Here is a 15199-nt window from a genome sequence, read left to right as displayed (position 1 = left end):
TGTTGAGACCTGATAAGGGAAGCTGGTGACGGGGCGACTGCATCATTATAGTGGGAAGGTCCATGGTTTCAGGAAAATGAGCTGCCCTCATTACCTGGCAGCTTGCCACAGTCAAAGATCTTGATGGGGCCACCCCCACATATCAGAGGGGAGATAGATGTGCTCCCAGGCATGGAAAACGTCCTCAAATTTCTCTTCAAAGAAGAACACCTGACCCAAGAATTAACTGTGCCCACTGGTTAGCCCCATATTTATTAGATTCCCTATCCTTATCTCTGATTAAAATAGCCTTATGTCATTGTTGCCTCTCATGAAAGCAGGGTTTTAATTATTTTAAAAAATAATTGAAAAATACTTTTAAGACAATGATTCAGTGTCCTCTTTCCCATGTCAAGCAAGAGGAATTTTATTAGTTCCTGTTGCTACTTCCATTTAAAAAGGTATTATATTTATCAACTAGATTTACTAGTAATTGGTAACTGACCGTATTCCTGGATGAAAACCAAATGACCCAAAACCACTCAGATGTAAAGAACCTTTAGGGGACAATTAAGGAATACTATAATACTATATCCATATTATTACTGTCAAATTTCTTAGCTGTGATAGTGGGGTTATGTGCAAAAGTCTGCAATCTTCTCTCAGATAGTTCAGCAAAAAAATGTATACGCATGTAAATTATGTATCATACACATAGAAGGAGAGCAAGAGAGAGAGATAGGGCACACAAATGTTAATTGAAAGCTCTTGAGTGTAATATTCTTTTTTTATATTTTTTGAGATAGAGTGTCACTCTATCGCCCAGGCTGAGTGCTAGTGGCGAGATCTCAGCTCACTGCAAGCTCCGCCTCCTGGGTTCACGGCATTCTCCTGCCTCAGCCTCCCGAGTAGCTGGGACTACAGGTGCCCGCCACCATGCTGGGCTAATTTTTTGTATTTTTAGTAGAGATGGGGTTTCACCACGTTAGCCAGGATGGTCTCGATCTCCTGACTTTGTGATTTGCCTGCCTCAGCCTCCCGAACTGCTGGGATTACAGGTGTGAGCCACCACGCCTGGCCATCTTCAGTGTAATATTCTTTAACTTTTCTGTAGGTTAAAAACACTGATTGTAAGTTTAAGAGAGAAAAGGGCATGTACTAGTTTATACATCAGTAACTAAAAATAAACACCTAGAAATATAAGCATATCATACCTAATTATGAAATCAAACCAAACAGATCTCAGAGCACTCATCTATGGCACGGGCCCTGAAACATTTATAGGACAAATCCCAGATGGGCAACAGAACTCATCAAGGAGCTGGGTCTGTCTTGCCTGGTGTCCCTGGTGTCCGTGGCAGCACAGAGCTCCATGAGGGCAGGCATTTCTGAGTTTTGTTGCTCAATTCCGTTGCCTGGTTGTTCATTACAAAATTGCAATAGAGTAAGACTGGAAAAAATAAAGTGCCCAGTTTCAGGGGATAACTAAGTAAAACACGGTATATTCTTTTAAAAATTACACGGCCATTATTTGTTGAATGAATATATGGAGGTTTTTAGCCTGCTCTCTGTAATATTTTGCTGTAATATTCTCTCTAGACAGGAAAAGAGAGGCCACCCAGACCACAGAAGTGGCTTCTCTACCGCCCACTGGACTGTCTGATCTGGGGCTCCTTAGCCCACAAGGGGTCTAGGCCCCCAGGGAGACCAGAGGCTCTACGTAACGAGACTAAAATTTCATTTCTATAAATGGGGTACGAGCAAGGCTATGGAAGATGAATAAGGCTCGGCAGCTAAAACAGCATCCAGTTGTTCCAAAAAGTCATCTAAAATAAATTGATTTCGAGTCTTAAACTGTAACATTCCAATCCCAACACAGGGCTTGGTGCTGTGACGAGAGGCCACAGAAAAGGCACGACAGGAGTCCTTCTGGAGAGAGCCCGATTCCTTTCAGGTCCCTTCTTTTGAAATTACTCTGGCCAACATTTGTCTTCTGAAGTGGCCCTGGAGATCCTGTAATCCAACCACTTCTCCTTCTGGAATAAAAAAATCCTGGGGGAAGGGAGAAGGACTCAACCTCTTTCCCTCCAAAAATCCCCCAAAAATAAAGAGATAAATGCTTTTCAAAATGAATGCTTTATTTTGAATTTTAAAAATACATACATCTTACACTGTAATCAAAACAAAGCTTAAGAAAGTCAATTCCCGCTTCCTTTAGCCCTGACTTACACTGGGTACCCGTTTCTGTGGCCGCCGGGGGTGACGGGCCTTTGCAGGGGCTCATCCCCGCTCCACTGCACATTAGCCAGCCCCTTCCGCCTTGTCTTCCCCGTGTTGGTCATGATCTGGTGGAAGGAAAGAGAAAAAAGGGCTGGAGAAATATCTATTAGAGAGCTGACCTAGAAGTCAAGCAGAATACACTGAATAAACTACTCTATAATGATAAGAAGCTTTGCAAATAAATGAGGAAGGATCATGTCACAAATTATTCAGGTAAACAGAAATTGTGGGGAAAAACCCTTTTTTTGCTAACGGTTTGTGTATCACACCATTTAGCAGTATAAATTAAAACAAAGTCAAACCCTAGGAAAAGGAAGAAAGCGGTTGATCTACTGGAACTCATCACATCTCTGAAAAGGACTGGGTTTGTAAAAATGAGAAGGGAAAAAAAGATGGACATTTGATTTCATAAAAATACGAACATTTCCACATGCGCAGTATGTTAAAAATAAACCAAATCAACAGGCAAACAACAAACTTGGAAGAAGTATTTGAAGCAAATTTAACAGATTAAAGGTTAACATTTTCATAGCTAAGGAGCTCCTACAAATCAGTAAGTAAAACACTAAATTGATAATCGGGCAAAGAATTCAAACCACCATGTCACAAAATAGAAAGTATTACTAGTAAGTAGAAGAAACAAAAAAGACCAACTTTACTAGAAATTAGAAACTACAACTTTACAAAACAAGGTGGCATTCTTCAACTATTATAAGAATGACAGAAAAACGATCCCGTCCACTGCTCCCAATAGTTTAAAACACTAGTTTAATGATTAACACTAATTAGAGAGATTGAAATTTGAGACAAGTCTTGGAAAACAATTTGGCATTTTATCAAGAGTTGTAAAAATGTTCACACATCCTTGAGTGTAAATACTAGTGAATGAATCCAAAACATGGAAAGCGTAAGATAAACAAGGTTGTTCATTATAAAGTTATTATAGAGTAAAACTGAAATGATCTAATGTCTAGTAACAGGGGAGTAAATAAGTAAAACATGGCATATTCACTTGATATATATATCATATAGCCATGTACAATGATAAAGAACAGGTTATGCAGAAATATATTTATTTAAAACATTAAATAAAAATCAGGTTATAATAATGTACATAAAGAATGCTTTTTTTTTTTTCCTCGAGACGAGGTCTTGCCATGTTGCCCAGGCTGGAGTGCAGTGGAGTGATCTTCCTGCCTTAGCCTCCCCAGTAGATGGGATTACAAGTGCACGCCACTCTGTCCAGCTAAACAATGCTTTCAATTGTGCTAAAAGTGCACAAAAAGACCTTGGAAAGAAATGAACCTTAACATGATTAGGGTGGCTCTACAGGACAGTAGAACTAAGAATATTTTTTTCTGCCACAATTTTTTGTAATATGGTTACTATTATGTTAATACTTAAGAAAAACTGTTTAAAAAGGAAATCACTGTCAAACTAGTGAAATGTGAATAAAGTCTGTGGATGATACCAATGTCAGCTTCCTGGTTTTGCTATTATTATGCTATAAATTACATAAGATATTAGCACCAGGGGAAATTATGTGAAGGGCGCCTGGGAACTGTCTGTGTTACTTTTGCAACTTCCTATCAATCTATAATTATTTCAAAACAAAAAGTAAATAAAATAAAAAACAAAAAACCAAACTTCTTGAACATTGGAATTTCATCTTTGATTTCTGCTGAAAATTCCTTTGTGTTTATCTAGTATCTTAGGCAGGGAGAGGAAGAAAAAAAGGGCCAGTGCCTACGGGATTCAGTGAGCCTCACTGGACCCTGGGACAGTTCTCAGCCAGGGAAGTGACAGGTGGGGTCAAAACCTGCCCTGGTCCGGGTACAGTGGCTCACACCTGTAATCCCAGCACTTTGGGAAGCCAAGGTGGGTGGATCACCTGAGGTTGGGAGTTCGAGACCAGCCTGACTAACATGGAGAAATCCCATCTCTACTAAAAATACAAAATTAGCTAGGCCTGGTGGTGCATGCCTGTAATCCCAGTGACTCAGGAGGCTGAGGCAGGAGAATCACTTGAACCAGGGAGGTGGAGGTTGCAGTGAGCCGAGATGGCACCATTGCACTCCAGCCTGGGCAACAAGAGCATCTCAAACAAAAACAAAAACAAAAAAACCCTGCCCTGACTAGGAGGTGGGGAGGGATGGAAAGAAGAGTGAAAGGGAAAAAGCCTGGGAGAGTGAGAAAGTGGGAGGCACCCAGCTTCTTGGGGGAAATGGAATGTAACTAAGCCACGTAAATAAAAACTAAAATGCAGTTGCGTCGCCTTTTCTGTCTCTAAAGAAATCTACCAAGGCAGGATATTTTCACTGCAACCACTTAACACTGCTGTCTGCTTCCACTGTAACTTCCCTTCCACCCCACTTCCCCGATCCAGGAGGATCTAGGGTCGGCTTTACACGCTCTCATCACGGTGCTCCAGGGTGACTCCTGCCTTCTCTTTTTCCTGTCCCTCATGCCAGAGGACCCCTGAGCCCTCCCACAGAGAAACACTAAGAAGGCAACTGGAAAAGGGGAAACAGTCAACATGCGGGTTTTCTCGAGCCTGTGACTAGTCCTCTGCCTCCACTTCCCCACTGTCAGCGGTCATCTGAGCTCGCTCCTCCCAATGTCTTCCTGGAAATGACAGAACATGTCACGTATTCGAGAATATTTTAGACTCTGCCAGTTATTTCATCTCCTTAAACTACAGAAACCTGGAAAATAATTTAAAGTGGGTGGCATTTTTCCTCTCCAGTGGATGGGGAAACTGCGTCTGGCCTGCGGGCCAGCACTGCCTGGTCTGTTGCAAAAATGCCTGAAGAAAGGCCCTCAGTGGAGCGGCTTCAGTGTGCAGGGCCTGGCAGTGCAGCTGCTTCCCAGCCTGTTCTTGCTGGCCTGGGCTTCCCCTCCCCTTGCTTGCAGTGTGAGCCACCCAGCCTACTCTCGGGCCCCTCAGTTGCAAAGAAGCCTTTGTGGGCTGAAGGATCTTAGAGGGTATCTTGTCCAACAACCTGCTGAGACAGAGCTGTTTATACTGAGTTCTGCAGAAATGCTTTGGGGTCTGGGGAGAGAGGAGAGCAAGGGCTCCTCACATCCACCTGTACTCATTCAGAGAACCCGGCTTTCATCAGTGTTACAGACGGAGATTATTTATTTGAAAGAAGGTTCTGCTACTAAAAAATGCAGCATATTTAAGCACAATAAAAAAAGAGCATATTATTTAGCTGAATGCAATTTACTCAGTAGTAAAAGTTGGTCAACATGTCAATTTAGGTAAAAAAAATTTCTTACTAATTGGTTTTGAGTATTTGTGAATCACTTAAAGACATTATAAAGCAGTATGAATTTCTGTAAAAAAATACAGGTATACTCTATCTATCTATCTATCTATCTATCTATCTATCTATCATCTATCTATCTATCAATCAATCATCTATATCTCTGTACACATAGAAAATAATCTGAAAGGGGAGGCAGACACTGTTAGCAGTCTACATAATATTCACCCTCTCCTTCCTGACCAACAGAACTGATTTTGTCGGCACGGCAATGTGTCTACTTAAAAATACTCACCTCCCAGACTCCCGTGCAGCTAGGGGCCATAGGACCCAGTTTTGACCAGTTAGTTAAGTGGAGGTCACCAAGTGGAGCTTCAGGAAAGCACTGTAGGGGCAGATTTGGCTGACCTGCACATTTGGCTTTCTTCCTGAGTTGATCACAGATTTGTGCCAGGAAGTGTACCCGTCATCATATGATCAAGAGGCAACAGGCATGTGAATGAAGACATCAAGGCAGAATTACCAGAGCTAATGAAACTTAATGTGTCACATGGTCATTTTATGTATGTGTAGGTTTTTTAGACAAGGTCTTGCTCTGCCACCTAGGCTGGAGTGCAGTGGTGCAATCATAGCTCACTGAAGCCTTGAACTCCTAGGCTCAAATGATCCTCCCGTCTCAGCCTCCCAAGTAGCTGAGACTACAGGCATGCGTCACCATAGCTAATTAATCTGTAGAGACGGGCCTTCCTATTGTTGCTGAGGCTGGTCTTGATCTCCTGGCCTCAAGTGATCCTCATTCCTCAGCCTCCCAAAGCACTGGGATTACACACGAGCCACCATGCCCAGCCCTACACTTGTTTTTTGTTTGTTTGTTTGTTTGTTTTGAGACGGAGCTTGCTCTGTTGCCCAGGCGGCAGTACAGTGGCGCGATCTTGGCTCACTGCAACCTCCGTCTCCCGGGTTCAAGCGATTCTCCTGCCTCAGCTTCCCGAGTAGCTGGGACTACAGGCATGTGCCACCATGCCTGGCTAATTTTTTGTGTTTTTAGTAGAGACGGGGTTTCACTATGCTGGCCAGGCTGGTCTCGAACTCCTGACCTCAGGTGATCCACTTGCCTCAGCCTCCCAAAGTGCTGGGATTACAGGAGTGAGCCACTCAGCCTGGCCTTAATTTAGATTTAGTGGGAAAAATTTCCATGATTCACAGTACCTTCCATGCATAGTCAAATGATTGCTATCTGTCCTGGTGTAGGAATGGTCTCTAGTAATTCTCTATGTTGTTAGAGTATTTGTGAATAATCAGTGTGCAAGAAAACTTCAAATGCCCCCAGTTACAGTTAAGGGGTGGCAGAATATGCCATTCCAAAATAAGCCACTTTGGCTTAGGATTATTTTGAGGTAAAGGCGCTTGATGCAAGAAGGACATTCTAATCTTCCTCTTTTCTTCCTGAAAACAAGCGATAAAAACTCCCATGTGAAAGATGCTCTCCGGGTACCAGAAGAAAAAAACCACATGTTGTCAGAGCTGAGAGAATTCTGTACAAACAGACCTGGGTAACATGATTCTTGTCTTCCTTTAGCCTCCCCATATAATTTGGTAACTTTTCCACCATTGCCTCTCTTTGTTCAACCTAGTTTAAAAGCATTTAGGTTCTGCCAGTTCTTTTCCCTTCGTTTCTGCAGGAGAGCTCCCATGTCACATAAAACTTATAGAATGTATATGCTTTTCTCCTGTGTATCTGTTTTACATCAATTTAATTCTCAGGCCCAGCCAAAAATGCTAAGGGAGAAAGGTAAAATTTTGCCTCCCCTATATAGTGTTTGCTGTTGTTGTGGTTGAGACAGAGTTTCACTCTTGTCACCCAGGCTGGAGTGCAATGTCGTGATTTTGGCCCGCTGCAACCTCTGCCTCCTGGGTTCAAGCGATTACTCCTGCCTTAGCCTTCCAAGTAGCTGGGATTACAGGCATGTGCTACCACGCCTGAATAATTTTTGTATTTTAAGTAGAGATACGGTTTCACCGTGTTGGCCAGGCTGGTCTTGAATTCAGGTGATCTGCCCACCTCGGCCTCCCAAGGTGTTGGGATTACAGGCGTGAGCCACTGCTCCCGGCCTAGTGTTTTTATGGAAGAAACTTGAGGATGGTTTTCTCAAATTTAATAACAAAACGGGTCATGCACAGTGGCTTACACCTGTTATCCCAGCACTCTGAGAGGCTGAGGCAGGAGGATTGCTTAATGCCACCCAGGAGTTTGAGGTGCAGTGAGCTATGATTGCACAACTGCACTCCAGCCTGGGTGACAGAGTGACATCATATCTCTAAAACAAAACAAAACAAAAATTTACATAAACATTTTCTTTTGTATTATTTTTTATTATTTTCTACAGGTGTTGATTTAAATTTTTGTCTTTTAAAAATACATATAATTTTTTTTTTTTTCACAAGACAGAGTCTTGCTCTGTCGCCCAGAGCTAGAGTGCAATGGCGCGATCTCGGCTCACTGCAACCTCTGCCTCCCAGGTTCAAGCAATTCTCCTGCCTCAGCCTCCTGAGTAGCTGGGATTACAGATGCACACCACCACGCCTGGCTAATTTTTGTATTTTTAGTAGAGACGGAGTTTCACCATGTTGGCCAGGCTGGTCTTGAACTCCTGACCTCGTGATCTGCCCGCCTTGGCCTCCCAAAGTGCTGGGATTACAGGCGTGAGCCACCACACCCAGCCTATACATATAATTTTTAAGTAAAAAGATTTACAGGGCATTACCATGAACTAAATGTGAGGCCAAAACAAAGTTTTTTAATCAATCAATATTAAGAAAATTTGATCAAATATGTTACAGGAAAGGCTAATCTTTTTTTCTTTCTCGGTAGAAAACATTAAAAACATCTTCATATATGTAGACAGAAACATTACATTTTTATGTTTATGCTTGTAAAACATTACTAATTTGCCATATACAGAAGCAATCAAAGGGCATAAAACAGAAGATATATGAAGAAAAACTATGAGGTGTTTGCCAAGCAGCTAGTTAATATAAACATTATTTTTCTAGATTTTATAATGTTTGTGTTATCTGCCAATTTTTAACATTTGAATTTGTACTTGGGGGGCTGAGGTGGGAAGATCGTTTAAGCCTAGGAGGTTGAAGCCACAGTGAGCCATGTTTGCTCTACCGCATTCCAGCCTGTGTGACAGAGCGAGACACTGTCGCAAAAAAAAAAAAAAAAAAAAAAGTGAATTGGGGCCGGGCGAGGTGGCTCATGCCTGTAATCCCAACACTTTGAGAGGCTGAGGCAGGTGGATCACTTGAGGCCAGGAGTTCGAGACCACCCTGGCCAACATGGTGAAACCCCATCTCTACCAATGATACCAAAATTAGCCAGGCGTAGTGGCACATACGCCTGTAGTCCCAGCTTCTTGGGAGGCTGAGGCTGAGGCACGAGAATTGCATGAACCTGGGAGGTGGAGGCTACAGTAAGCCGAGATTGCGCCACTGCACTCCAGCCTGGGCAGCAGAGCAAGACTGTTTTAAAAAAAAAAAAAAAAAGTGAACTTCACTATGATTTATGTTCTAATTCTCATTCCACAGAAGCACTCGCTTTGATACCTAATTTTGCATTCCATTATTTTAGAGGACGCCTCCCAAGCCCTTGTAAGCTGGAGGACCCACAAAGCCTAAATCTGCCCTTCTGGCAGGCAGGGCCACGCTAAGAGATGAAAAGAGCCTGGGCTCTGACAGCCCCCACCCGCCAGGAATTTTTAGCTGGATTGATAAGGTAGGACTCTCTGCTATTTGCAGCTCAGCCCAATCCTAACTGATAAGGAAAGACAACAAGAGATAGTGATTACCTCTGGTTGGGTAGACTTAGGGTTGGTCTTTACGTTCTGTTACTTTGACTTTTTAGAATAAGCATACATTTCTTTTGTAATTAGAAAAAAGAATAAGAAACAAATGGCAAACGAAAAGGATTCAAGATATTTTGGGGTTTGGGATTTTTCCCTGCTTACTTGGTTGTGTTTTCATGCACAAGAATATAGACATTGAGGCCGGGTGAGGTGGCTCACGAGGTCAGGAGTTCGAGACCAGCCTGATCAACATGGTGAAACCCTGTCTCTACTAAAAATACAAAAACTAGCCGGGCGTAGTGGCGGGCGCCTGTAGTCCCAGCTACTTGGGAGGCTGAGGCAGGAGAATGGCGTGAACCCGGGAGGTGGAGCTTGCAGTGAGCCGAGATCCCGCCACTGAACTCCAGCCTGGGCGACAGAGCGAGACTCTGTCTCAAAAAAAAAAAAAAAAAACAAAAATTAGCCGGGCGTGGTGGCGCGCGCCTGTAATTCCAGCTACTCAGGAGGCTGAGGCAGGAGAATCCTCGAACCTGGGAGGCGGAGGCTGCAATGAGCCAAGATTGTGCCACTGCACTCCAGCTGGGACAACAAAGTGAGACACTGTCTCAAAAAAAAAAAAAAAAAAAAAAAAATATATATATATATATATATACACACACACGTATAGACATTGAGTCAGTTCCAACAAATCCCCTAATAAGCAGAGGCAATGGCTCTTCAACCATTACAGTCACACAGGGCAGGAATAATAGACTGAAAAGGGATTAGGAAATGCCCCAAAGTGGAGACATATGTGAAAAAAAACCCGAAAAGTAATATTTGGAAACAGAGGCCTTTTCTCCTCTAGTTTTGGTTTTTGTTGTGAGCAGAGAGGGGCAGGAGCTCTCAGGGCCCGCTGCAAGCCACCTCATGCTTCTGCCCCTCTAGGCACAGCAGGACCGGGTACAGCAGGATCCCAGGGCCCTCTCCTGTCTCCAGGGGCTCGCCCAGGTCTGAGCCCAGCCTAGGAGGGCCTCAGCTCTGCACGGTGCCATGCTGCAGAAGACAGGCTGGGGGCAGCTCCATGAACACCCTGAGTTCTGTCCAAATGGGCCAAGTCTCCAGGGCCCAGACTCCTGCTTCAGAACCACTTTAGGGGAAAATAAAAACGCACACTCCTGGGGCACTGCCACAGCCTCAGATTCTCTGGATGTGGGGCCAGGAACCTGCACTTTAACCAGCCCTTTCGGGGATTCTTAGGAAAACTAAATGAATTTGGGTTCTCACTTGATGGAGGGGAAAGGAAGTGTGGAAAGGGAGCAATTAGCATTCACTATAGGCATTTCCCCCAAAACTGAGTCTGTGACGAAAACATAGATCATATAGTTATTACGAATATGTCACACGGGTCGCAGCTCTCTCAACTTGCAAGTACAGAATCCACTCACCTGACAACGGCCAGCGCTGCTGCAAGGCGGCCCGGCTGAGTGGTAAAAGGCAGGTGGGCTCAGGTGACGCCTGGAAGCGACTCAGCCTTTCTCAGCCTCAGCGCCCTCCTCTATAAAATGCAGATACTAGTGGAAGATGCCCCATAAGTTTGCTGGGAGGATTCAGTCAAATGGAGTTGTGTGAAGCAGTCAGCACAGGGCTTGGCCCATGGCATGAACTGAATTAATCTGAGATCTGCCTATTACTGTTAAAGGTCACTATGAAATTAAAAAAAAAAAAAAGCTGGGATTCTATGATTCTGTCATAAATGTTTATATCCTTTAACCCAGGTGATGGAGCTATTTAAGTCAGGGCATTCTTCTTAAGAAGAATTGTTTTCTATTTGTATTTGTATTTATTTATTTTTATAATAATAATTTATTTATTTATTTTTGCACTCCAAGGCTGGAATGTAGTGGTGCAATCACAGCTCCCTGAAGCCTCCATCTCCTGGGCTCAGGTGATCCTCCCACCTCAGCCTCCTGAATAGCTGGGACCACAGGTGCGTGCCACCATACCTGGCTAATTTTTAAAAAAATTTTAGGAAAGACAAGGTTTCCCTACATTGCCCAGGCTGGTCCTGAACTCCTGAGCTCAAGCGATCCTCCCACCTCGTCTCTCAAAGTCTTGGAATCACACGCGTCAGCCACCGCACCCGGCCAGAGGCATTGTTGATTACTCAGCACGGTATGCACGGTACTAAAAATTTCACAAATACTAGAGGCAGGAGAAGCAGGAGGAAAGTCAGCAGTCTTGAACTCTGACGTTCACAGCCTATAGCAGAACACAGCACATGGCTTCACTAGAATTACGAGTAAGCAACACATCTCATGGGGCCATCGCTACTCTCCCGCAAGCCTTGGAAGCATGACCTATTCTCTGTCCCTAGCTTTCTGAGATCGCCGTGCTCTTCAGCATTTTGCATAGCCTGTGCTCTGCAGAGCAGAGGAGCTGTGGGTAGACTTTGAGGGTGGGGACTAGCAGTGTGGCCCTGCAGGGAACAGGTGGGCTACTGGTCCAGGATCCTGGGAATAGCTTCCTCCCATCCCCGAACACTCTGGCGGACGCCCCAGTCGCACCTCCACCCTTACTCCCAAGCTGCTGGTTGGTTTTTAAATTACTGGCGTGCACCATGATTGGTTCCTGGGATTTGGTCAGGAGGTATAGGGTAGGGCCTAGACTCTATCCTTAACCCAGATTCAGTGGTCTGGGACTAGCTCTCACCCTGCAGGATCACACCTGCTGGCCACTGACCAGCTGTTATCTACCCCACTCAGCAAGAGCAGTTTTATCTGTTTGGTGCCTTCTGAAAACTTCTTGACGGTAACAGCTGTGTCTTAAGCCTCTTCGGCATTCCGCTGTGTTGGGCAGATGGCACAGGTTCACTCAAAGCTTTTTGAATACAATTTTCTGACAGAATGTTTCAAAACGCCAACATCTTTAGAGTCATCTTGAAAAATCTGCAATGTACCCAGTACATCGGAACAAGGGGCCTGGATCATGACTTTCAGGCACATATTTCCCAGTGAAACGTCTTCTATCTTGGTCAGAGCTCCTCAGCTTGGCACACACACAAAACGCGACAAAAATGTGAATTTAAAGGCTTTTCACGCACCACAAGAGCAAGGGCATGACAAGGTGGGAATCCCATCTTCTGAGATCCCCAACCCGGCACACAGAGGCTGGCAGGCTGGCAATGTCAGATCACAAGACCGGGTGACAGGGCGGTGGGGGATGACTCATGAACAGGGGCAGTGCTGGGAGTGCATCCGGCCTCAGCGCTTACTGCTCCACGTTAAATTTTCTAATCAAAATATTCATGAGATCCTATGGTGACCTGGTGTGGTCAGCTGAATGGTGGCCCCCAGAAGCTATGCCCATGTCCTGACCCCTGGAAACTGTGAATGAGTTTATTTGGAAAAAAGACCCTTGTAGATGTAATAAGGACCCTTGAGAGGAAGAACTCATCCTGGGTCACCCGGGGGAACAAGTGTCCTTACAAAAGACAGAAGAGGGGAAGGCCATGTGAAGGCAGGCCAGGGATTGGCATGTTGCAGCCACAAGCCAAGCATGGCCTGGGGCCACCAGAGGCTGGAAGAGGCAAGAAGGATCCTCCCATAGAGTCCTTCGGGGGAGCTGAGCCCTAAGGATACCTTGATTTTGGATTTCTGCCTTTCAAAACGAAGACAGAATACATTTCTGCTGTTTTAAGTCTGCAGTTAGTGGTGCTTTGTTACTGCAGCCACGGGAAATACCAAATTGTACTGGCTCTTCCCATCTTCACAGTGGATTCTTTCTGTGTTTCTCAGTACTCACATGTCCACCCATGGTTTCCTTCTAGTAAAAGGATCATCCATAAACATTTAGGAGGTTTAGAACTGCATATTATGGTAAGATGGTACCATTTCCAGATGCCATTAAACTGGGGTTACTGATTGATTTGAAAGCTCTGTGCCTTTGCGCCTCACCAATCTGCATGATTAAACTAGCAGTCTCACCACGTTCTGCACCTTGCTTTTTTGTTGTTACTGAAGATGTTTACCATATCAACAGAAGATCCTCCCCCATGGCATTTTGCCGGGGAGAGGTCCTCTAGATTATTAACTGAGCGCTGTATTCAAGCTTCTGTCTGACCTGGCTGCAAATGGCCATCCTTGCTCATGTTTACGTGCCTGCGTGTCTGTCTGTGCGGTAGTGTGGTCAGGGGTACATGCGTCGCGGTCTCAACAGGTATCAACACGTGCCCTCTGAGGAAGCCCCACCAATTTGCCTCCTCTGTTTTCCTCACCGCCTGCCTGTGAAACCAATCACACGGAGCCGCGTCTCTGACAAAACCAGCGCTCTTCCAAAGGGCGACAGAGGCCTAGTCAAGCCTTAGGCTTCCATCAACAACTTGGAACCTTGACGGCTGCACTTCTGACCTTTCCTGAGCACCTCCCTGCTCCACCTAATGTAAACAGCTCCACAGCCAATTAGACTACTTTAATCCTTGAGATGTTCTAAGGAATGGCAGGTACTGCCCAGCAACCCCTATCCCTGAAGGGGTTCGCGGTGGTTCCCCGCCCCCCAGCCTCCATCAGTCACCTCCCTGCCTTCACAAAGCAGCAGAGTGAAAATGTAGTGGATATGTTAGAACATGAGTCAAACCGAGTCACTTCCTTGCTCTCACCTCCAGTGGCGTCCTAGCTCTTGTAAATAAAATCCCAAACCCTTGCCATGACCTACAAAGCCACATGATCTGGACTGTGGCTCTCTCTCCAACCTGAAGTCCCACCACCAAGCACTGCACTCCAGCCTAGAATCCCTGAAGTTCCACAGATGATGAGGAAGAGATGAGGGCCAGGTGACCAGGGGGCCCAGTGTCCTGGGGAGGTGCCAAGGGTCTGGGTTGGGGGTGGCAACGGGACCTGGCAGGCACTTTCTGCTTCCACCTGCTCCCATAAAGCCTCAGGCCACCTGCATGCATCGTCTTTCTCCTTCCCAAGGCTCTGGCTGTGCCAGTCAACTGTTGAGACGCTGGCTCCACCCTTCTTCTCCAACACCAACCTGCTGGCCGTGAGGAAGACTTTGGGGTCCAAACAACTGACTGAAGCAACCACCAGCTTCAAAGTTCTAGGAGCCTCTTTTAGTGACTCTTCTACCCTATGTGCTCAGCTGTCCCACACAGGGTTTCAGTCTGAATTGGTCCTGGTTCCTGGCAATTGCTCCTCCCTTCCAGACCCTTACACTCCAGCATCCCACCAGGCCCCCCTACCTGCTCTCTGAGATATCTGCGGGCCCTGGCACTGCTATCCTCTCCTGAGGAGTGGCTGCTTCCTCCTGACTCACATCCTGCCCTATTTAGCTGGTGGGTCGTAAGCCAGTGGTTCTGGAGCTGGCTGAGCATCCGAGCCAACGGGAGCTCTCACAGGTCAGCTTAAGGACCCATCCCAGATGGTGACTCCACAGGCCTCTTGGATGCTTGCACTGACCACTGGCTCCATCCTGAAACACCTCTCCCTTCTGTTTCCATAACCCTCTTCAGTTCTCCTGAAGACGCAGTGACTACTCACTTTCTGGCCTTCTCGGGTCCTCTCCTTTCTCCCACTCCTGACTGCTGGAATGCCCCTCCTTGCTCAGCCCCCACTCTCTCTCCACACTGTGCTTCAGTGGGTAACCTCATGGGCTATGATGGTTTCAGCCAACACCTCTGCGCCAAGGACTTCCAAGTCTACCTCAGTATTCCCTTCCAATACATAAGGCATGCAGAAATTAAAAAGTGGGATGGTAGGCAATTGCTACTGGGGCCAGGCATATCTTCTGATGTTCCAAAGGCCCCTGGCATATGCCTTCTAGTTATATCTTTCCCCAATCCGT

General features: G+C 45.5%; 1 protein-coding gene across 10 annotated transcripts in view, besides 2 other annotated features; it reads right to left on the bottom strand.

Moving 5' to 3' along the window:
* The window catches only part of ARMC9 (armadillo repeat containing 9), a 178218-nt gene that overhangs the window by 29550 nt on the left and 133469 nt on the right, over positions 1-15199 (bottom strand). For 8 of the 10 annotated variants that reach the window (NR_148040.2, NM_001352755.2, NM_001352756.2 and 5 more), the window contains one exon: positions 2097-2324. Coding sequence is in view for 9 of the 10 variants with exons in the window: in NM_001352755.2 (NP_001339684.2) it covers positions 2205-2324 (120 nt within the window). In the remaining variant the exon portion in view is untranslated. Of the gene's footprint in view, positions 1-2096; positions 2325-15199 lie in introns of those variants that run through there. The other 2 variants (NM_001271466.4, NM_001352754.2) reach the window with 1 other exon arrangement.
* Positions 10427-10927: an enhancer, noted in NCBI's record as "H3K4me1 hESC enhancer chr2:232201084-232201584 (GRCh37/hg19 assembly coordinates)". NCBI's record gives its function as "activates a minimal SCP1, AML or CMV promoter by ChIP-STARR-seq in naive H9 embryonic stem cells {active_cell/tissue: H9 hESC(naive)}" and the evidence as "EXISTENCE:reporter gene assay evidence [ECO:0000049][PMID:30033119]".
* Positions 14077-15034: an enhancer, noted in NCBI's record as "H3K27ac-H3K4me1 hESC enhancer chr2:232196977-232197934 (GRCh37/hg19 assembly coordinates)". NCBI's record gives its function as "activates a minimal SCP1, AML or CMV promoter by ChIP-STARR-seq in naive H9 embryonic stem cells {active_cell/tissue: H9 hESC(naive)}" and the evidence as "EXISTENCE:reporter gene assay evidence [ECO:0000049][PMID:30033119]".

This window comes from Homo sapiens, chromosome 2, assembly GCF_000001405.40.
Source record: "Homo sapiens chromosome 2, GRCh38.p14 Primary Assembly".
Lineage (NCBI taxonomy): Eukaryota > Metazoa > Chordata > Mammalia > Primates > Hominidae > Homo > Homo sapiens.
Note: the sequence above shows the minus strand (reverse complement) of the source record. Positions and strands in the feature narration are given on the sequence as shown.